At 40.8% G+C, this 22,597-nt stretch overlaps 1 protein-coding gene across 16 annotated transcripts in view, besides 3 other annotated features; it reads left to right on the forward strand.

Moving 5' to 3' along the window:
- OSMR (oncostatin M receptor) overlaps positions 1-22,597 on the forward strand; it is a 99,568-nt gene that overhangs the window by 55,997 nt on the left and 20,974 nt on the right. For 7 of the 16 annotated variants that reach the window (XR_007058659.1, XR_007058660.1, XM_017010019.2 and 4 more), the window contains exons 8-14: positions 1,874-2,016; positions 2,345-2,495; positions 15,538-15,614; positions 16,832-17,054; positions 19,607-19,786; positions 21,142-21,246; positions 22,414-22,587. Coding sequence is in view for 13 of the 16 variants with exons in the window: in XM_017010019.2 (XP_016865508.1) it covers positions 1,874-2,016; positions 2,345-2,495; positions 15,538-15,614; positions 16,832-17,054; positions 19,607-19,786; positions 21,142-21,246; positions 22,414-22,587 (1,053 nt within the window). In the remaining 3 variants the exon portion in view is untranslated. Of the gene's footprint in view, positions 1-1,873; positions 2,017-2,341; positions 2,496-15,537; positions 15,615-16,831; positions 17,055-17,198; positions 17,550-19,606; positions 19,787-21,141; positions 21,247-22,413; positions 22,588-22,597 lie in introns of those variants that run through there. The other 9 variants (XR_925661.1, XM_011514161.3, XM_005248384.1 and 6 more) reach the window with 3 other exon arrangements.
- Positions 5,624-6,124: an enhancer, noted in NCBI's record as "H3K4me1 hESC enhancer chr5:38907734-38908234 (GRCh37/hg19 assembly coordinates)". NCBI's record gives its function as "activates a minimal SCP1, AML or CMV promoter by ChIP-STARR-seq in naive H9 embryonic stem cells {active_cell/tissue: H9 hESC(naive)}" and the evidence as "EXISTENCE:reporter gene assay evidence [ECO:0000049][PMID:30033119]".
- Positions 6,125-6,625: an enhancer, noted in NCBI's record as "H3K4me1 hESC enhancer chr5:38908235-38908735 (GRCh37/hg19 assembly coordinates)". NCBI's record gives its function as "activates a minimal SCP1, AML or CMV promoter by ChIP-STARR-seq in naive H9 embryonic stem cells {active_cell/tissue: H9 hESC(naive)}" and the evidence as "EXISTENCE:reporter gene assay evidence [ECO:0000049][PMID:30033119]".
- Positions 14,616-15,145: an enhancer, noted in NCBI's record as "NANOG hESC enhancer chr5:38916726-38917255 (GRCh37/hg19 assembly coordinates)". NCBI's record gives its function as "activates a minimal SCP1, AML or CMV promoter by ChIP-STARR-seq in naive H9 embryonic stem cells {active_cell/tissue: H9 hESC(naive)}" and the evidence as "EXISTENCE:reporter gene assay evidence [ECO:0000049][PMID:30033119]".

Here is a 22,597-nt window from a genome sequence, read left to right on the forward strand (position 1 = left end):
GCCTTGGCATTTAGCCTGTGATAGTCCATGGTTAGTCTCCATGCCCTGGAGAGCCTTTTGCGACCAGCCAAACTGGGCTGTTATATTGTGAGAGGGTGGTTTATAATATTTATATCTGTATTAAGTCCTCAATTAACAAAATACTGTCCTATTCTCCACTCAGTATGTATAAGAGTACTACTTTTGTTGAATAAGCCATTGGAACTTGGGGAGCTTAGGTGGCAGGCGGAAGTGGATATGCCCCACTGTTATGGCTTAAATCCTTAGCTGTGTTGGGGGAACATACCCCTTCAGATGGAGGTGGCCTTCTGTGCCCCAAGCAGCCAAAATGCCAATGCCTATGATGCACTGACTGATAGGAACCATGGTCTCTGGCACCTAAAATGGCCCAACGGGCCCTGCCCACAACCAGATAAGCATCTTGGGTCACTATGTTTGTCCGAAAACCTCCCAATGTCATCAGTTTAATTTTTCCCCTAAAAGAACAAGGAAATATTGTCATGTGGGCTCCAGTATCCAAGAACTCCACAAAAGTCTGAATTTTCTTCTTTTTCTCTTTTCTCTTAACAAGAGTATTAGGCCAGTGCCCTTCGGTAAGCACCTAGAGACTTTGGCAACAACCCTAACTGCACCGTTTGGGTCTGCAGTGTCCCTTTATCCAACAAACAGACCAACCAGGTTGCTTGAGAGCTTACTGCTTATGTCTATGTGTGTCCTTTGGATCTTGAGTCACGTTCTCTGTGAAGGCCTGCATTGTGCATGCTGGTTCCCTCTCAGATGTCTCAAGGACCATCAGAGGACCTCTTTTTAATTCTCTCTCAGATGCCTCCAGATGCATCTGAATACCCAGGAAGGAGCAATCACATATGTGCACTAAGCTCCCCTGTTTCCACGCTTCTTTCCTCCGCCACAATCCATGCAGCCACCTCACCCACATTCTCGGGGTGTATGTGTGGCCTGTGTCTCTCTTATCACTGCTTCTTCCCCATAAAACATCTAGCTGGTCTGATGTCTCCACTGTGGGCCAGGTATGAGATAGGGTATTGCCCCTTCTACTTCACCAATGAGCCATTGTTCTGTCAGATTGAATCCTGCTTGCTGTGCCAATTTTGTGAAGCAGGTGCTCTCTGTGCACTGGTTATCAACTGTCCGAGTCCAGTGAGACAGAATACACTCATACACAACAAGTTACGTGAAATGGATTTGTTACCATCAGACAGGCAGCAAGGGATAACACAAGCCTTGGATTTATTGCTGCTGGTCCCCAAGGCTGCGGAGAGCTGCCCAGGGCAAACAGAATCTTATCTCTGAGTTCTTCACTTGTACCATAGCTGAGAGACCTCAGAAGCATCCATCCTGGATTTTATATCGTGACAACACATGACTCGCTGCACTAAAGCATTAAAGGACATCCTCTTTCTAGGGAGGACTGGAACAGAGCCTGAGCTGTTCTGGCCAATCCCCCTCTCATCTAAAGATGTTGCATTCCTAGCACAGTCTACATATTTTGGATTATATCCTTGACATTGTTAATGTTATTTTGGTTACACTCTGAGTTCTGTTAAAATTCTCCGCTGTGGGCCATCTTCTCCAAGTTTTGACTCCCCTTCCCAATTTGCCTACTTGTGTTTAATTTTAAGAGTCCTCAAGTAGTTTCTTTTTGTATTTTGTTCAATGCATGCAGTAGAATCATTGAGAGAGAAAGGCTGTAGTTGGCTCATTCTAGCTTGTCTGTAAGTTCTTGTTTGTCATGTTCTCAAAAGTGAACAAAAATACTTGTTGAACAAATAAATGAAGAAATAAACTGCCTATTACCAATGTCTTTTTGGATCTATGCTTGAATTTTTTTGTTTCTTTTTCTTTTTTTTGACAGTTTATTTAATGAATCCTTTTAGTGTCAACTTTGAAAATGTAAATGCCACAAATGCCATCATGACCTGGAAGGTGCACTCCATAAGGAATAATTTCACATATTTGTGTCAGATTGAACTCCATGGTGAAGGAAAAATGATGCAAGTAAGAACCCTGCTTAATTTTCTATTTTCAAAAATTCTTTTTTTGTCCTGAACAGAGACACTGATGAATAAAATCACTTTAAACTCTTATTTCTGTGTAGGTTCAAATGGTGTGGGTCATCTGTTTTAAAAGGTCCATGAAATTAATCATACACTTTTATGGTTAGGAAATGGGCCTTGAAGATTTTTTTCCCCCCAAAGAAGAACTGATCTTACTCCAGGTCAGGATTTGCTGTGCTCTGGTTTGCCTTTGTAATGGGATGCACTCACCAATGTTTCTGTCTTGTTCTTTTCTCTTTTTTCTTTTCTTCTCTTTTTTGATCAAGCAGTACAATGTTTCCATCAAGGTGAACGGTGAGTACTTCTTAAGTGAACTGGAACCTGCCACAGAGTACATGGCGCGAGTACGGTGTGCTGATGCCAGCCACTTCTGGAAATGGAGTGAATGGAGTGGTCAGAACTTCACCACACTTGAAGCTGGTATGTTCAGCCCCTGGCATTTAACCCAAAGAAGTAGGTCTTAGGAGTTAGACTGGTTTCCTTAAGAGATTTTGGTTGTACCAAAAACTAAGAGAAAAATATTTAAACAGAGGCGGGGTAGCATTTAAAAAATTAGATTAGGTGCCTCATGAGAAGTGAATGGGAAACCATCCACCTCAGACAGTTGACAGTAGTATTTTATTTATACTGCCTATCTTCTCTCTTACCTTTCATTTTCCCAAAATGGTTTCAAGCCATCACTTTGCTGGATTCACAGTAGATCTGGAGCTATATAAATTAGTATACACCTTTAATTCAGGACAGTGGAAGTGTTAATGACAAGGAAAGCATTGGTCTCATCCTAAACAACTTGAGGCCATGTTTGGAAATGTAATGACATTTGGAACCTTAATGGTTATTTGTGAGTCATTTGTTCCGGTGATGCCACACTGTGTGCCCTCTCCAGCATGCTCTGTGGCAGGGTTTCCTCAGTATTGACTGCAAACTTTTCCTGCTAAATAACTATGTCTGAGAACTCAAATGGGCCTCAGGAGATTTGATGGCCCAATCCTGCTTCCATCTCCCTCCAACTCAATGTCATAAAGGATAACTGTTGCCCATTTTACAGATGAGGCAACTTGCACCCATAACTGAAGAGATTTGCCCTGATTGCAGTTACTGAATGGTACAGACATCGTAATAATCTTAGGAGTGCAGTGGCTCACACCTGTAATCCTAGCACTTTGGGAGGCCGAGGAAGGTGGATCACGTGGTCAGGAGTTCGAGACCAGCCTGACCAACATGGTGAAACCCCATCTCTACTAAAAATATAAAAATTAGCCAGGCGTGGTGGCACACGCCTGTAATCCCAGCTACTCGGGAGGCTGAGGCAGGAGACCGCTTGAACCTGGGAGGTGGAGGTTGCAGTGAGCTGAGATCGTGCCACTGCACTCCAGCCTGGGCAACAGAGTGAGACTCCATCTCAAAAAAAAAAAAAATCATAGGAGTCAACATTTACTGTGAGCCATACATAGCTCGAAGGGCCCTCTGTGCTCCTCTCTTTTCATCCTGACAACACGCAGTAGGTGCTCTTATGATCCTCATTTTATGCCAGAGGATATCAGGGCACAGAAAGATTAAGTAATTTAACTGGTTCAGCCAGGCACTGACTGAGCTGCGACTCACGTCCAGGCAGCCTGACACCAGAGCTCCACCCTTAATCAGAGCTCAATTCTGTGTGTTCTCTCTCTTGGTGTTATTACAACCTCTAGATCTTGTTGATTCAAGTCCTGGCTATTTTAGTGCCAAAGGAAGGATTATACATATGTATTTTATTATTCTTCTTATTTGTGTATGGCAGCTGGCAGAACTCTTTCTGTCTGATTCTGGGAGGACCATTTTAAAGCAGTGACTCTAATTTGGGGGTAGTGGGCACCGCTAATCAGAATCCACACATGAGGATGGTCATTAGTCAAGTTCTGCAGGCCTCCCCGCTTCCCTGGTGGTGTCTGCCTATCCTCAAGCCCATTGAGACTCCAGTAATTTTTCCTAGGTGTACGGGTTCCTCAATAATCTTTGTTCTGGAAGGCCCTGTTCCTGAGAGGAATGTTGCATTTTCCTCAGTGTGTTTTAGAAAAGAATTTTTATTATTTTGCTTTACGTTTTCTGTTTTTTTTTTGAAAATTTATTCCAACATAACTAAAATTATGTAAAAAGGGAAGATGGCAAAAGAATAGAGTTTCTTTTAGATTATAGTAATAATCTAACATCTTGAAAACGCTTAACTTTGCTTTTGATGATGACAAGAAAATGAGATGAATCTACTGAAGGTGAACCTATAGGAATTTTTTATTACTTCTGATCACGCTTTGCTTAATGCTGGAAAACTCAAATCTTTATGTGTATTATAACCATGCTTAAGTATAATTATAGTGAGCAGACATTGAGTTAAATGAATTGATGGTATAAATGATGTTGTTTATAAAATATAGTGCTATCAACTGTATTGTAGCACTTTTTTGTTATAAATAGTAATTTACAAGCCAGCTGAAGATTTTGCATTGAGCTTAGATATTGTCCCTGAGTATTTCAATAAAGTTTTAAATTTAATATTGGCTTCTCCAATGACTTATTTAGCAAATTGAAATCTGCTTTAATAGATTTAAAAATATATGGCCACCTTTAACTTAAAGTATAAAGTGTTGAGTCAGCAACTAAAATAAAAAACTTAAATGTCAATTATTAGGCAAAAAAGATTATATTTTTATAAGATAGAGAGATACATTTTAATGTTATGTTCCAAAACAGTTCTTCTTTCAAAGAAATGTTCTGAATCAGATCAAAAATTACTTGTCCTCTCACAAACCAAAAACTAAAAAAAATAGGAAAGTTATTTTTTAATATTTGAAACACCTTAATTTTGTTAAATTTTGTTAATTTCGTGACAGTTGCTATTTAACACTTTCACACTTAGCAGCCAAAATTTTTTTAAACCATTTTAGTATGCAGAAATCATATTTAAAAAATAGAAGTTGGAGGTCCTAGCCAGAGGAATCAGGCAAGAGAAACACATCCCAAAAGGAAAAGAAGTCAAACTCTCTTTGCTGATGATATGATTCTATACCTAGAAAACCCTACATTAAGAGTGGACACAGGGAGAATGCAGAAGCTGGGCTGAAGGGTCAGGAAGCTGCATACCCTGCACAGGGCTATGAAGCACCCACACTCGTTCTTGGCCCCCAGCAACTCCTGGGGAAGGGGTTGAACAGGCGGCCTGCCCCTGCCGTGGACCTTTGGAATCCAGGCAGCAGGAAACCCCACAACCCTCATGGACAATTGGACTGGCAGGAAGAGCTTCTTAGAGAGGTAGTAGGAATAGAGCTCCATCCTGGGCAGGGCCCAGAGGGTTTGGTGCAGAAACATCTGCAGTGGAGCATGGCCAGGGACACAAATCCCCCAAGCCTTGCCTTGCTCCTCTAGGAGACTTTGGCCAAAGGGTGACCATGAGACCTAGACAGAGGAGAATGGTCTTACCCATGAGATGGGGCCAGTCCAATCTGAGTGATCCCCTGTCTGCTGGCCACTCCTGAGGCTCCAGCCTTGCCACACTAGCTGGAGTTGCAGCCTCAGATGCCCAACTATGGTGCTTCCTAGGGGACCATATCATAGCTGCTTTGCTGGCAGATGGCACCTGACCATTGGAGATTTCCAGCAGAACAGTCCCTACTGACATGCATCAGCCCACCTGCAGCCTCCCCCAACCACAGCCTACCCAATGCCACCTTGCCAGTATGCACTTGTCCATGGTCACCCCACCACCACTTTGCCAGTGCACACGTGTGGGTGGACCTTGCCTCTTCTCCTCCAATGGCTTATGTGTGCACATATCCCACTGCTGCTGTTGGCATAAGCACAACGTGTGGCCCTGCCTCCCCTGGTGCTTCCATTTCTGGTGTGAAAGAGTGCATGGACACCAGCAGCCCCACCCCCACTCCTGCTGACACTGCCACCAGCGTGAATGTGTGCATGGCCCCACAACCCCCCCAACACCATCACTGGCACAAATGCATGCACAGACACCAGCAACTCTGCCCCTACCCCTGTGCTGCCACTGTGGCTGCTGCAAACCAGCACACAGACAACCACGGCCCTGCCTTCCCAGTGCCACCACAACTGCCAATGTGAATGCATGCATGGATGCTGGCAACTCTACCCACCCCTGCACTGCCACTGCTGCCTGTGCAAACTCATGCACAAAGACTGGTAGCCTCCTGCCTCCACCACTGCCAGTACCAGTGCCAGCACTGTCACTGGCACTTCTGCCTCTGCCTGCATCCCCCCACCAGGGCAACTGCATGCAGGAACCCTGCAGCCCTACTCTCAGAGGTACCCCACCCCAGCTGATGCACATACAAACCACTGCACTGCCCTAGCTGCTGGCACATGTGAGTGAGCATGGACCCTGCTGCCACTACCCTGATGAAGTGCTTTGGCCTGCACCACTCATTGGAGTTTTGTGGCCAGCAGACTGAGATCAGTTCGGCCTCTCCAACACAGCAGGTTCCTAGCCTTGAGGGGCCAGAGAACAAAGGTGGGGGCCTGATACCAGTCCTGCAGAGTTAGAGCATGCAGACCAGGAGTGCTAAGCTGAGCTTTGGCCCCTTAAAATCTTCCAGATGGGAACCCAGTCAACTGAACCCATCTTATATCAAAATCAGATGTCCCCCAAGGACATCAAATAACATAAAACATAAAACAAAACAAAAACCCATCCAAAGGACAGCAACTTCAAAGACTAAAGGAACATCAGCCCACACAGATGAGAAGGAAAGAATGCAAGAACTCAGTGGCAACTCAAAAAGCCAGAGTATCTTCTTACCTCCAAAGACCACACTAGCATCCTAGCAATGGTTCTTAACCTGTTCAAAATGACAGAATTAGAATTCAGAATATGGATAGAAACAAAGATCATCAACATCCAAGAGAAAGTGAAAACCCAATCCGAGGAATCTAAGGAATACAACAAAATGACACAGGAGATAAAAGACAAAATGTCCATTTAAAGAAAGGATCAAACTGATCTGATAGAGCTGAATAATTCATTTCAAGAATTTCATAATACAAATGCAAGCTGAGGAAAGAGTCTCAGCTCAAAGACCAGTTCTTCAATATAACTCAGTCAGACAAAAATAAAGAAAAAAATAAAAATTATTATGTAAAGAGAACAACTCAGCCACTCATTGGTGTTCTTGAAAGAGAGGCAGAGAAGGCAAGCAACTTGGAAAACATATTTGAGGATATTATTCACAAAAATTTCCCCAGCCTCACTGGAGAGGACAACATTCAAATTCAGGAAATGCAGAGAACTCCTGTGAGGTACTATACAAGATGACCATCCCAAAGACACCATGTCTCCAAGACATAGTCATCAGATTCTTCAAGGTTGAAATGAAAGAAAAAATGTTAAAGGCAGCTAGGGAGACAGGGCGGGTCACCTACAAAGGGAACCCCATCACGCTAACAGTGGACTTTTCATCAGAAATGCTACAAGCCAAAAGAGATTGGGGCCTGTACTGAACATTCTTAAAAGAAATTCCAACCAAGAATTTCATATCTAGCCAAACTAAGCTTCATAAGTGAATGAGAAATAAGATCCTTTTCAGACAAGCAAATGCTAACGGAATTCACTACCATTAGACCTGCCTTAGAGGAGATCCTTAAGGAAGTGCCAAATATGAAAAAGGAAGTCCATTACCAACCACCACAAAAACAGACTTAAGTAATAGACCATTGACAGTATAAAGCAACCACGCAATCAAATCTGCATAATAACCAGCTAACAAGACAATGACAGGATCAAATCCACACATACCAGTATTAAACTTGAATGCGCACAGGTTACATGCCCCAATTAAAAGGCACAGAGTGGCAAGTTGGAGAAAGAAGCAAGATCCAACTGTATGCTGTCTACAGGAGACCTATATCACACGCAGTGACACCCACAGGCTCAAAGTAAAGGGATGCAGAAAAATCTACCAACCAAACAAAACAGAAAAAAGCAGGGATTGGTATTCCAATTTCTGTCAAAATTTATTTTAAACCAATAATGATCAGAAAAGACAAAGAAGGGCATTACATAATGGTAAAGAGTTCAATTCAACAAGAAGACTTAACTATCCTAAATATATATGCACCTAACACAAGAGCGCACAGATTCATAAAGTAAGTTCTTAGAGACTTACAAAGAGACTTAGATAGCCACATAATAATAGTAGGAGACTTCAACATTTTGCTGACAGTATTACATGAATTATCAGGGCAGAAAACTAACAAAGATAGTAAGGACCTCAACTTGACACTTGACAAAATGGGCTTACAGAACTCTCCACCCCAAAACAAATATACATTATTCTCATCTGCACATGGCATATACTCTAAAACTGACTTCACAATTAGACATAAAACAATCCTCAGCAAATTAAAAGAAAACCCGAAATAATACCAAACACACTCTCAGGCAACAGCACAATAAAAATAGAAATGAGTACGAAGAAAATTACTCAAAACCACCCGATTACATGGAAATTAACCTGCTCCTGAAAGACTTTTGGGTAAACAATGAAATTAAGGCAGAAATTAAGAAATTATTTGAAATTAATGAGAAGAAAGATAACAATATACCAGGATCTCTGAGACACAGCAAAGCCATGTTAAGAGTAAAGTTTTGGCTGGGTGCGGTAGCTCACACCTGTAATCCCAGCACTTTGGGAGGCCAACGTGGGCAGATCACGAGGTCAGGAGTTTGAGACCAGCTTGGCCAATATGGTGAAACCCCATCTCTACTAAAAAATACAAAAATTAGCCAGGCGTGGTGGCACGTGCCTGTAGTCCCAGCCAGTCGGGAGGCTGAGGCAGGAGAATTGCTGGAACCTGGGAGGTGGAGGTTGCGGTGAGCTGAGATTGCATCACTACACTCCAGCCTGGGTGACAAAGATCTCAAATTAACAACCCAACATCACACCTCAAAGAAGTAGAGAAACAAGAACAAACCAACACCAAAGCTGTCAGAAGACAAGAAATAACCAAAATTAGAACTGAACTGAAGGAAATTGAGATGCAAAAAACTATACAAAAGATCAACGAATCCAGGAGTTATTAAGAAGAATAAGTTTCATAGATCACGACCTAGACTAATAAAGAATAAAAGAAGATCCAAATAAACACAATCAGAAATGTTAGAGGACATTACCACTTGACCCCATAGAAACACAAAAACTCTCAGAGATTACTGTGAGCACCTTTTTGGACACAAACTAGAAAACATACAGCCTGGAAACATACAGCCTCTCAAGATTGAACCAGGAAGAAATTGAATCCCTGGACAGACCAATAGTGGGATCTGAAACTGAATCAGTAACAAAAAGCCTAGGAACCAGAGAAAGCCCAGGACCAGATGCATTCACAGCCAAATTCTGTCAGAGTTATAAAGAGCTGGTACCATTCCTACGGAAACTATTCCAAAAAAACTGAGTTGGGGGACTCCTCCCTAACTCATTCTGTGAGGCCAGCATCATTCTGACACTAAAACCTGTCAGAGACACAACAAAAAGAGAAAACTTCAGGTCAATATCCTTGATGAACATAGATGCAAAAATCCTCAACAAAATACTAGCAATCCAGATCCAGCAGCACATTAAAAAGCTAATCCACCACAATCAAGTAAGCTTTATCCCTGGGATGCAAGGTTGTGTCAGCCTACGCAAATCACTAAATGTGATTCATCACATAAACCGAACTAAAAACAAAAACCACACAATCATCTCAATATATGCAGAAAAAGCTTTTGATGAAATTCAATATCCATTCATGTTAAAAACTCTCAACAAACTACATGTTGAAGGAGCATACCTCAAAATAAGAGCCTAGATCTATGACAAATCCACAGCCAACATCATACTAAATGGGCAGAAGCTGGAAGCATTCCACTTGAGAACTGGAATAAGACAAGGATGTCCACTCTCACCACTCCTATTCAATATAATATTGGAAGTCCTAGCCAGAGCAATCAGACAAGAGAAAGAAAAAAAAAAGCATCCAAATAGAAAAAGAGGAAGTCAGAAGTCAAACTATCTTTGTTTGCAGGTGATATGATTGTATACCTAGAAAACCCCATAGTCTCTGCATAAAAGCTCCTAGATCTGATTAAAAGAAAAAAGTCAGCAAAGTTTCAGGATACAAGATCGATGTACAAAAATCAGTAGTATTTCTATACACCAATAAGATTCAAGCTGAGACCCAAGTCAAGAACGCAATCCTACTTTCGATACTCACATACACAAAAATATCTAGTAATACATTTAACCAAGGAGGTGAAAGATCTCTACAAGGAGAACTAGAAAACACTGCTGAAAGAAATCATAGGTGACACAAAGAAATAGAAAAATATTCCGTGCTCACAGATTGGAAGAATCAATATCATTAAAATCACTGACTCCCCAAAGCAATTTACAGATTCAATGCTATTTCTATCAAACTATCAATGTTATTTTTCACAGAAATAGAAAAAAACTATTCAAAAAATTGATATGGAAACAAAAAAGAGCCTATATAGACAAAGCATTTCTAAGCAAAAAGGACAAAGCAATAGGCAGCACATTACCCCAGTTCAAACTATACTACAAGATTACAGTAACCAAAACATCATGGTACCAGTATAAAAACAGTCACATAGACCAATGAAGCAGAATAGAGAACCCAAAAACAAAACTACACACCTACAGCCATCTGATCTTCTACAAAGTCAACAAAAATAAGCAATGGGGAAAGGACTCCTAATATAATAGATGGTGCTGGGATAGCTGGCTAGCTATGTGTGGAAGAATGAAGCTAGACCTGTACCTTTCACCATGTAGAAAAAATTAACTCGAGATGAATTACAGATTTAAATGTAAGACCTCAAACTATAGGAATCCTAGAAGAAAACCTAGGAAACACCATTCTGGACATTGGCCTTGGGAAATAATTTATGACTAAGTCTTCAAAAGAAATTGCAACAAAAACAAAAATTGACAAGTCAGACCTAATTAAACTAAAGAGCTACTGAACCACAAAAGATACTATCAAAAGAGTAAGCAACAACCTACAGAATGTGAGAAACTATTTGTAAACTATGCACCTGACAAACACCTAATATCCAGCATCTATAAGGAACTTAAACAATTCAACAAGCAGAAAGCAAACAACCCCATTAAAAAGTGGGCAAAAGGGCCAGGCGCGGTGGCTCATGCCTGTAATCCCAGCACTTTGGGAGGCCGAGGCAGGAGAATCACGAGTTCAGGAGATTGAGACCATCCTGGCTAACGTGGTGAAACCCCGTCTCTACTAAAAATAGAAAAAAATCAGCCAGGCGTGGTGGTGGCTGCCTATAGTCCCAGCTACTCAAGAGGCTGAGGTGGAAGAAAGGCATGAACCCAGGAGGCGGAGCTTGCAGTGAGCAGAGGTCGTGCCACTGCACTCCAGCCTGGACGACAGAGTGAGACTCCATCTCAAAAAAAAAAAAAAAAATGGGTGAAAGACATGAACAGAGAGTTCTGAAGACATACAAGCAGCCAAAAAACATTAAAAAATGCTCAACATCACCAATCATCAGAAAAAGTCATATCAAAATCACAATGAGACACCATCTCACACCAATCAGAAAGGCTATTTTTAAAAATCTTTGCATGTTGTTACTGTTTTTATTCTTTAGCTACCCCAGGTAGCTTCTGTAGCAGTCAGCACCACTGTCCTGCTAGACCTTCTGTAAGTATTAAAAGCCAATGTTCTTACAAGAACGTTTTTGCACAGAAGGAGGTGTTACACAAAAAGGGGGAAGGTTAAGCTACTGTACGCATTTGTTTGCAATGTGTCATCTCACAGAACTCATCCCTGTAACCCCATCAGGGCAGGAGCCTTCTTCACATGTCTTCATAATATTTCTTAAGGGAGGCCATTTTCCACAGTGCTTCAGATCTCAAATGCAAGTGGAGCCTGACATAATAAAACTCTGGTTTCATTTCAACCATGATGCAGGGAATATATTCCATGTGTATTAATAGGTTGTAACAGTTTTCTAGGGCTTTAATAACACAGTACCACAGACTGAAGGACTTTAACAAGAGAAATTTAGTGTCTCATAATTATGGAGGCTAGAAATCTGACATCAAGCTGTTGGCTGAGGTTGTTTCTCAGAGGCCACTCTCTTTGGCTAGTAGATGGTCATCTATGTCTGCTCACAGGGTATTCTCTTGAGCGTCTCTGTGCATCTATTGCCTTTTCTAATGAGGACACAAGTCAAAATGGCTATTACTAAAAAGTCAAAAAGCAACAGATTCTGGGGAAGCTGCAGGGAAAAGGGAACACTTATACACTGTTGGAGGGAATATAAATTAGTTCAACCTTCGTAAAAAGCAGTTTGGAGATTTCTCAAAACAGAGCTACTGTTCCACCCAGCAATCCCATTACTGGGTATATATTCAAAGGAAAATAAATCATTCTACCAACACGCATATGTTCATCACAGCACTATTCACCATAGCAAAGACATGGACTCTACCTAGGTGCCCATCAATGATGGATTGGACAAAGAAAATATGGTACATATACACCATGGAATAAATAATGAAATAATGTTCCTCCCAGCAACATGGATGTAGCTGGAGGCCATTATCCTAAGCGAATTAATGCAGGAACAGAAAATCCAATACTGCATGTTCTCACTTTTAAGTGGGAACTGAACATTGGGTATTCATGAAAATAAAGATAGAAACAATAGACACTGGGGACTACTAGAAGGGGAAGGAAGGGAGGGGGCAAGCGTTGAAAAACTAACTGTTGGGTTCTATGCCCACTGTTTGGGTGATGGGATCATTCATATTCCAAACCTCAGCATTGCACAATATACCCATGTAACAAACATGCACATGTACTCCCTGACTCTAAATAAAATTATAAAAAGAGAGTTTCTAGGAAGTATTTTTAAAAGTATTTCAAAGGAAAGTAAAATGTAATAGGGAGGGATATGATTCACTAAATTTGATTATTAACTACAGAATGATGAAGTATTTGACTATGGTTTCACATGAATGAGTTATATGGAAATATGCTAAATTACTTTCAAGAACATAATAGCATGCACAAAGAAGTCTGGAGGTTAAAGTAGCACTCAGGTGATGGACTTTGAATTTATGTTTTCATAACCAACTCTAATTTAATGAAATCATAATTTCTCAAAAATTTGACAGCACTGGGATATGTATTTTGAAATATAGTAAACCCTATCAATGATAGTAGACTGGTAAAATACTGATTTGCACCTTTCAAAAAGGATGTTTTTCTCGATTAAAATAAAGTTTGTGATTTGGCAAACTGAGAGTTGGAAGAAAAGTTGGAAGAGTTGGAAGAAAAATAATTCATGTAAAGTTAAGGAACCTACTGATAAGTAATTTGGATTTTATATCATTACTCTAAAATGGAATCTGGACTATTAAACCATTAGATTATGAAACTAACAACTCTATATCACATCTTGTATTTAAATTGATTTTTGTTATCACAAAAGTTATTTAGGTTTGTAGCAGTGCTACTAACTCTCTTAATTAGATACTTGAATTTAATTCAGTTATTTTTATTAGGGGCTATGCTAAAATATTCAAGCTATCTTTAAGAATTAAAGGGAAGTTTCAAAGTAAACATTAAAAATAGAAGTCATATGAGACATGCTATAGTTGTATTTTCAAATTCAGAAAGCTGAAGCAGCACGTTCACAAAATGTGATTGAGTAGAGAGATAAAGATGTTTTTTATGTCTGGATTTAAAAATGAGATGTGCTGTTAGGACTCAGTTGCAGAATGACATCAATACCTGTGAGTCCCTTTCTTGTTTGTCTCCATGGATGTGCTATAATTGGGTCATCTATATCTTCATCAGTTAAAGCCTGATATTTCTTGTGGCTTATGAATGTTTTAAATTCTCTTTTGACTACTTCTTGTTGTACTATTCTTGTGAAGTTCATACCATGACAAAATTGTATCAGTAGAAAATTTGATTCTATGTGGAATACAGAGTATTACATAAATCCAACAAAACAATTTACAAACGAAAAGATGTACTCATCTTAATAGGACTTTCATAATATTTTTATCAATCAATGATTAAAACGTGTGCCTTTTTAAGATTTTAAAATAAATTGCAATGATTTCATTATTTTTCCATTGCTGAGATTTTTTTTAAATGAGAATTTTGTTGAACTTGTCATGCAAGCTGAGCCTTCAATTGACCATCCATTTTCTAAAGATGAATAATGGAATGACCAGACCCTAACTACCTTGAGTTCAAATCTTGGCTTCACTTTTACTTTCACCTGGGTGATTTGAGAAATTAACTTACTCTCTCTGGGTCTTAGTTTCCTTATCTAGAGAATGGGGTAAATAATCATACCTGCCCCATAGAATTGTTATGAGGATTAAATGAGTTAATATATGCAAAACATTTGGAACTGGGCTGGCATCTAGTAACCCCTCTATAAATATTAGCTATTATTATGTGTAAAAGAGATCCCCCAAATGGTTTAATACATAGGTACCCAGAGTTGGCTTGGATTTAAAGACCTTTCCTTATGATAAGTTGATTGAGCAAATGCAGATTTAGATGCAAAATCAATCAGTCAATCCATCTACAAAGATTTCTGAGTGAGGGATGGAGACAAGAAAAGATTGGGACATTGAAGCAGGTTGTTTTCTGAGTTCCTTTGAAGTTCGGTTTTTATTCATTCAAACGGTTTGTAGAGCTTTCACGAAGTGCCAGGCCCTGAGGCAGATGCTAGAGTTTCAAAACCCTTGGCCCCAGGGATCCTATGGTTTATTGACAGAGAGACAAGGAAGCACACTATTCTAAAGCAGCATGGTGAGAGCCACAATAGAAGAAATGCTGGGTGCTGCAGGTGCCTTAAGTGTCCACAGCAAGCAGGTGACCCAGGCGCAGGCAAGGTGCTGGGAGGAGGAGTGGGATGAGGCCTGCCCAGTGGAGGGAGACCAGCACTCCAGTGAGCGGGCCAGCCGTGGGTATCATGAAACTTGAGGAAGAACGCATCCTGCCCCTAGCGGGTTCCCCATCACTGTGTCTCTATCCATGACAGATGGGGCAAGGAAGTAGCAAAGGTCTGCTGCCTAGAAAGTCAAAAAAAGGGGAAATTTACCTAACTCATCTGGAATTGGTCTAATGGACAAATTATTCCAAACTTCTTTGGTAGTTGTATGGCTTGATGTTTATAAAGGCTTTCAGAGGCAGCTGACCTTTTTATAAAGCACTGTACTGTGTGCACCTAGTGAGGAGTGAGCAGTGTGGCTGTGGACCAGTGGGTAGAAGTCATAGAGAGTGAAAACGGGAGAGGCAAGCCTCAGGTTGGACAGGTAATTGTCATGTCCTTGACCGTCCTAGAAAAAGGTTGAGCATATTGCTTTACATACATATTGTGACTCAAGAACTTTTCTTTGGTTAATTTCAGCTCCCTCAGAGGCCCCTGATGTCTGGAGAATTGTGAGCTTGGAGCCAGGAAATCATACTGTGACCTTATTCTGGAAGGTAAGATGTGCAGATTCCAAAAGTCTGATTGTTTCCAAAAGTCACATTTGTGGAAACAAATGTGTCTTCCTCTGGAGAACTGTGGATTGGTTCAGTGTCCCAACTGGGAGGGATCTTCACATTCATCCAATAGAATTTCTTACCTAGTAGAGGAATCCCACTCCACTCCTTTGATAGCTGATGCAACTGACAGCCAGTTCTGATTGGTAGAACCTTCTCTGCAACTTCAACTCAGGCCAGGCTTGACTTTTGCAGGGCCCAGGGCAAAGATGTAAGTAAACAACCACATATGATAGTTAAAAGTTACACATATTTAAATAGTCATACTATTTATATTTAAAAATTATAAATCAAGCTTAAAAATTGTAATATAAAATAAATTTTATCCTTCTATCTTGACTAATACACCTTCATGACAACCTGGAAGGCCAGGTTTGTATTCTGAACTCTGTGATGCGTCAGTTTCACACTGAAACATGGTGATCCTGGGAGAGTTGGCTCTGGTCTCAACCTACCCCACTTTTTTTTTCACCTTTAGTTTGGCACACTCCGCAAGAATCTCTGTGCACAGACGTGTGGGCATGCCAGTCTGCATGTCTGGGTTCTGTCCACACCCCAAGCAGATAGCCACTCCAAGCCCACTCTCAGGGCTGGTGGTACACATGCCAGGGGAGGGGAGGCCTGAGGAACAGACCCCAGAAGTGGGCTTGGGACTGTGTGGGCAAGAATTTCTCTGCAAACTGAGGATCTTCCAGAGGAGGGCTCTGGGTATGGAGAGCAGCTAATCCCTGTACGGCTGCATAGGGGTAACATGGCTGGAGGTGGAATGAGGCCAGTACCCAGGCTCCTCCTGCAGGGTCCCAGGGTGGTGCTGTTTGTACTCATTGCTTTTCTGCCCTTGACTACCCCTCACATTCTTTTTTCCACCAGGTTAAAGAGTCTATTCCTTGTGATTCTGACCTGAGCACTCTTCTCAGGGCACATAATGCTCTTGAGGCTCTTATCTCCAAATGATCCTCTTCTCTACTCACCTTCAGTTAGATTTGAATGTCTGATTTCAGAGTTGGTTGAGAGAGTTATTTTCTCTATTAAGCTGTTTGAATTTTCTGGTGTGTGCGTATATAAAGGAGTTGAGGGACAGAAAAGATGAAAAAGGAGTTGTACAAATTCCTTTCAATTAAAACCCATTTAAAAATGTTTATCAATATTTTTTTCAGCCATTATCAAAACTGCATGCCAATGGAAAGATCCTGTTCTATAATGTAGTTGTAGAAAACCTAGACAAACCATCCAGTTCAGAGCTCCATTCCATTCCAGCACCAGCCAACAGCACAAAACTAATCCTTGACAGGTGTTCCTACCAAATCTGCGTCATAGCCAACAACAGTGTGGGTGCTTCTCCTGCTTCTGTAATAGTCATCTCTGCAGACCCCGAAAACAGTGAGTTTGTTTTCATTTTCTTTTGTTTTTATTCTCTAGGAAAATGTTGATGACGTTATTAAGTAGTGATGGATAAATTGAGAAAACAATAACTTAGGAAGACAAAATGTCTAGTCACTAAACAGTCATTTTCTTTTGGGCCAGGTGTGTCAACGTGTTTCAGTGGGACAGTCCCCTCAGTGTGGGGAGAAGGAGACTTCAGCCATGGCTCAGGACATTTCTGTCCAGGGGATTCTTCAACATACATGGGAAATTATCTCAAATTTATTCAAGTAACTGCAACCCTAACAAACAGTCACCACTGAGAGTTGGAGTTACTATTTATGATCTTTGTGGCTTGTGAAATAGGAATTGCATTTACTATTTTGTAAAAAGTGTTGTCAGTCTTTGCACCTGGAAAGAGTCCATGAACATTTCCAGAGATCATCAGAACTGGCATCAACTTTCACCACAGACTCTGCCAACTTTGTAGAATAAAAGATAATAACTGGCTAATCTCTTGCCTATGAAAGAGCAAACAAGGTGGAATGCCCTTACATGCCAAATCAATAGTGATATTAATTTCCTTCTTAGCCATAAAAAGAGTCAACCCCACAGTTACATGCTATGAGATGATACATACATGGGCATACATAATGTAGTTGGCAAGTGGCATCCTGGGATCATTCATGAACCTTGCAATAATATTACCCTTCAGTTCCTGCTATTAAAATTTCCAGACCCTTGTAGGTTCTATAATATGTGTTTATTCAAGTTCAGCTTAAATTTGGGTTGAGTTGGATTAGAGGATGTTGTTGTTTTGTTTTATTTTTATGTTTTTAAAAGAACTACCCAGTATATATCACATGAGGAAAAGAAACTATATTGTGCCATAGAAGAAAAACCAACCTAAGTTGGTTTAGGAGTTGTTTAGTGTAACCTCTGCTTTCTGAAGAACTATATTAGAGAAAGAAGTTATATTCTGACTTCATTAGGATCCGAACAGGAAAAGGGGGCATTTCATTCAGCCTCGGGGAGCTGGTACTGGCCTCTTCTGAGGAAGGGAGAGACCAGTTCAAAGCAACACTGCTGAGAGCAATTATGTATTTTGGGGTCTCCTACCACACCCTCCATCCCCGTGCCCTGCCTTCAGATGCCTAGACCTTCTGGTGAGAGGCTCCAGCTAGCTATCCTTAAGTGTTTCTTGTTTCTACATCACCAGCATGTATAAAGTCACTCATGTACTATGAGAAAACCAGTAAGGTTAAGCCAGTTCACACTAGGGTGTAAATGACTGACAAAAAGATTCCCCTACTCTTTGATCTACCTCCATCTCTCAAAACATATTTTCAATTTAAAGAAACAGCTTTCTAAGAGTTTCAACCCTGGGTTTGGAGTTAAATTTTACTAAGTATCAATAAGTCAAGTGAAAAATGTCGGCCTTAATATGTGAGGGGCATTTGTCTGCTTGATGGAGGAAGGCAGGGAAGCCATGTGGATGGGATCTATAAAGCCCTCATGGGCTTTTAGCTTATACCTAGGGCTACACATTCCTTTGGGTGCCCCTAGCTGGATGATATTTTGATGCCCTATAAAAATGAATCAGTGGTTTTCACACCAGTATTCAGTTGTAATTAGGATTGCCAGGTAAAATACAGGATGCCCAGTTAAATGTGAATTACAGACAAACAATAAACCAGTTCTTAGTGTAAGTCTGTGGAAAGAGGAGAAATTCTCATGCCTCAAGGTTAAGGTATATCCCTGTTGGAACTCAGTAGAACTGGTAGTCCCCTGAGGCCATGTTATCCTTTTTCCAATTGTCAGACATCAGGAAACCTACTTTAACATATAAAATATATTGACATGGCAGTATTAGTCATAAACTGTGTGCATATCTTTATATAACCCAACTTTTTATATACCTGAATATTTTCTTCTTTTTTGTCTTCTACTCAATTCCTACCTGTAACACATCTCAGAAGCAGTATTTAGTTCAGGAGCAACTGATGTTACCGTGGGAGAATTAGCCTGCATTAGTTATTCATTCAACAGGTATTTTTTGAAGCAGATCCAGTACCCAATACCAGATTCTAGATTAAGGATCAAAAAATTTTGTGGTAAAGGGGCAGATAGCAAACATTTTTGCAGGTCATATAGTCTCCATTACATATTTTATTATATGCCTTCTTTGTTGGTTTATTTTTATTTTTACAACCCTTAAAATGTCTTAGAACCATTCTTAGCTCAAGGGTCATATGAAAACAACCCTCAGAGGCTGGAATCATCCTCCTGGTGGTAGTTTGCTGACCCCTGTCCTAGGTGCTGAAGTCTGGTTGGGCTTCAGAAGGTCAACATGATGGGCATCTGAAGGGCAGGTGTGAATATTCGCTGGGAAGTAAGAGACAAGAACTCACCCATGAAAACATCCCCCACCCAAGCACCTGTAACTATTGAAGTGGAGGTCTGTTACCTACTAGATACAGTGCATGTATGTATTTACTTTCTACCTTACACACTTAAAACAATTTACAGTTAATTAAATCTGGAGCATTGCTCTATTTGTTTATATACAGAAGAGGTTGAGGAAGAAAGAATTGCAGGCACAGAGGGTGGATTCTCTCTGTCTTGGAAACCCCAACCTGGAGATGTTATAGGCTATGTTGTGGACTGGTGTGACCATACCCAGGATGTGCTCGGTGATTTCCAGTGGAAGAATGTAGGTCCCAATACCACAAGCACAGTCATTAGCACAGGTAAGAAGAAGCTTCCATATCATCGCATTGCTATATTCACCTTGAAGAAAGTTCAAGTGGGATTTCTGGACTACTTCACAGACTTTGACTGTGCTAAGCTAGTAATTTTGAAACGACAAATCCAGCATGGGTGTTAGGAGTTCAGATGTTACAAGAATATGTTCTAAAACTTGACCTTTAAATCTACTTTTGCAGAGAATATCTGCACATGAGGTGGGAACTGATTTTCATAAACTTGTTTCTTTAAATTAGTGCATAGTCTCGAATGGCAGAAGGACATTATTATAACAGTTGTCCAGAGAGCTTTTACAAAAGCAGAGACTTGCATCCATTTGGAAGATGTTTAGGACATATAGTTGATGAGAATCGATCATCAACTTCAGTTTCAATAGAACATGTAGAACTTGTTCTCTTACCTCCCACATTGGATTTGTAATGTGAAGATTGCTAGTTTAGCAGTCAGAGGAGTGCTGGTTTGTGTGGCTTGAGCTGGAGGGGTGGGTGGCGCCATCTACTGGGCTCAGGGAAAGGTGTGGGAAATGTCCCTGTTCAGAGGGTGATCAAGGTTCTGCCAATTTCAGTGGTATGGTGGGTTGTGGAAGGAGATTGCAGAGGTACAGGTGTAATGGGGAAATGAGGAAGTGGAAGCAAAGCTTTCAAGACTATTGGCTTTAATGGGAAGAGGGAAGATAAATAACTGGAGGGGGATTTGGAGCCAAAGAAGGGCTTGGTTTTCTATGTCTGGTCTGATTCTGCACCCAGTTGTATGCACATGGATACAGGCATAGTTGAGAACTCTTGCTTCAAAGAACACTGCAGAGGCCAGTCCCTGCAGGCTTTGCTGGAGACAAGACAGTGGGGCCAGGTGTTTGCAACATGGAGGACTCCAAGGCTTCATGGAAGGAGGGAATATCGTGGGGATGAAATACAAAATTCCTGAAAGCCAATTATTAGGGGAGCACAAATTTATTTTTCATTCTTTTTTGGGGGGTGTGGTGGGGAACAGACTGTTGCTGTGTTACCCAGGCTGGAGTGCAGTGGCTTGATCTCAGCTCATTGCAACCTCTGCCTCTTGGGTTCAAGTGAGTCTCCTTCCTCAGCCTCCCCGGTAGCTGGGGTTACAGGTGCCCGCCATTAAATCTGGCTAATTTTTCTGTTTTTAGTAGAGAGAGGATTTCACCATGTTGGCCAGGCTGGTCTCCAACTCCTGGCCTCAAGTGATCCGCCTGCCTCGGCCTCCCAAAGTGCTGGGATTTCAGGCGTGAGCCAACGTGTCATGCCTTTTCATTCTTTTTCTTTTCAGAATTAGGAAACATCATTCTGTTATTAAAAATCTGTTGACTTTTTTTCCCTAGATGCTTTTAGGCCAGGAGTTCGATATGACTTCAGAATTTATGGGTTATCTACAAAAAGGATTGCTTGTTTATTAGAGAAAAAAACAGGATACTCTCAGGAACTTGGTAAGTTTAAAGCATGTAATGTGCCCCATGTGCAGACTTGTTCAGAACAATTCATAGATTCCTAGCTTTGGGTTTAGGAAGCTGTCAGCACCATACCCAACTTTTGGTATCCCATTTATTCTAGCAATTGGGTTTTTAAAATTATTTTTTAATCATACAAACAAAACATTTTCATTAATTCTCATTGCTAAGTCTCTCTCTTTCTTCCTTTTTTCAGTCTCTTATACCCTATGTGAATAATCATCATTTTAGCTGAATCTTTGTCCAAATCCATAATAATGGTTTGTAAATGAAGTCTTAAAGATAGGATGCTGGAATCAAAGGGTTTCAGCTTTTAAAATTTTTTTTTCATTCCTTTCATAATTTTTAAGACTTTCCACACATGTTGTGAAATCACCCCCTAGAAATGTTACCACTGTCCCCCCAGCAGTGGAGGGGATTTTTGATCCTTCCATGGGGTTGCTTATTCCCCTTCTTTAGCTGGGTGCTTGATTGTTCACACAGATCAGACCAGTTCTCAGGGGTTCTTCCTTTAGCAGGAGTGGATCCACAGTTTACAGTTGGCTCAGAGCAGGCAGGAGGTGTGTGACCTTGTGTGCACGGTCCAAGTGTGCATAAGCGTGTGTGGGAAAACAGCCTCAGCAAAGCCTTCAAAGTAAACATTCCTGGATTGTTTTTCAGTGACACTTGGATAAGTGTGCACTGCCACAACCTGGGAACTAGAGTTCATCAAATCCCCCCACTTGCCTCTTTGAACATAATTCTTCCACTTCCTTCCTTCTTCCTCACTTTAGTAGGTTCTCTGGTTGAGTCTTTCCTCAAACACTGTTTTGAATTCAAGAACAGAATTAAGTCTCCTTTTTTTTAGAGTTTAGTTTGTTTTATTTTTATTTTTTGGCTATGTGAGCTTGTGCAAGTTATTTAGTCTCTGGGTGTCCATTCTTCATCTGTAAAAGGCAAGACTTGAACAAGATTGCTCAACTCCTTCACAGCTCTCATAAACTATGTCAAGGCACAAATCCTCTAGAGAAACAGATAAAACTCCTTAACTTGGCATAAGCTGTTACAACCTCCAGAGCTGGCTATGGTTCTTCTATTAGTTGACATGAATATTCTGAGACTGTTTCCAAATCATGACTTTTCTCTTATCCCAACTTCTTTTCCTAGCTCCTTCAGACAACCCTCACGTGCTGGTGGATACATTGACATCCCACTCCTTCACTCTGAGTTGGAAAGATTACTCTACTGAATCTCAACCTGGTTTTATACAAGGGTACCATGTCTATCTGAAATCCAAGGCGAGGCAGTGCCACCCACGATTTGAAAAGGCAGTTCTTTCAGGTGACATCTA

This window comes from Homo sapiens, chromosome 5, assembly GCF_000001405.40.
Source record: "Homo sapiens chromosome 5, GRCh38.p14 Primary Assembly".
NCBI lineage: Eukaryota > Metazoa > Chordata > Mammalia > Primates > Hominidae > Homo > Homo sapiens.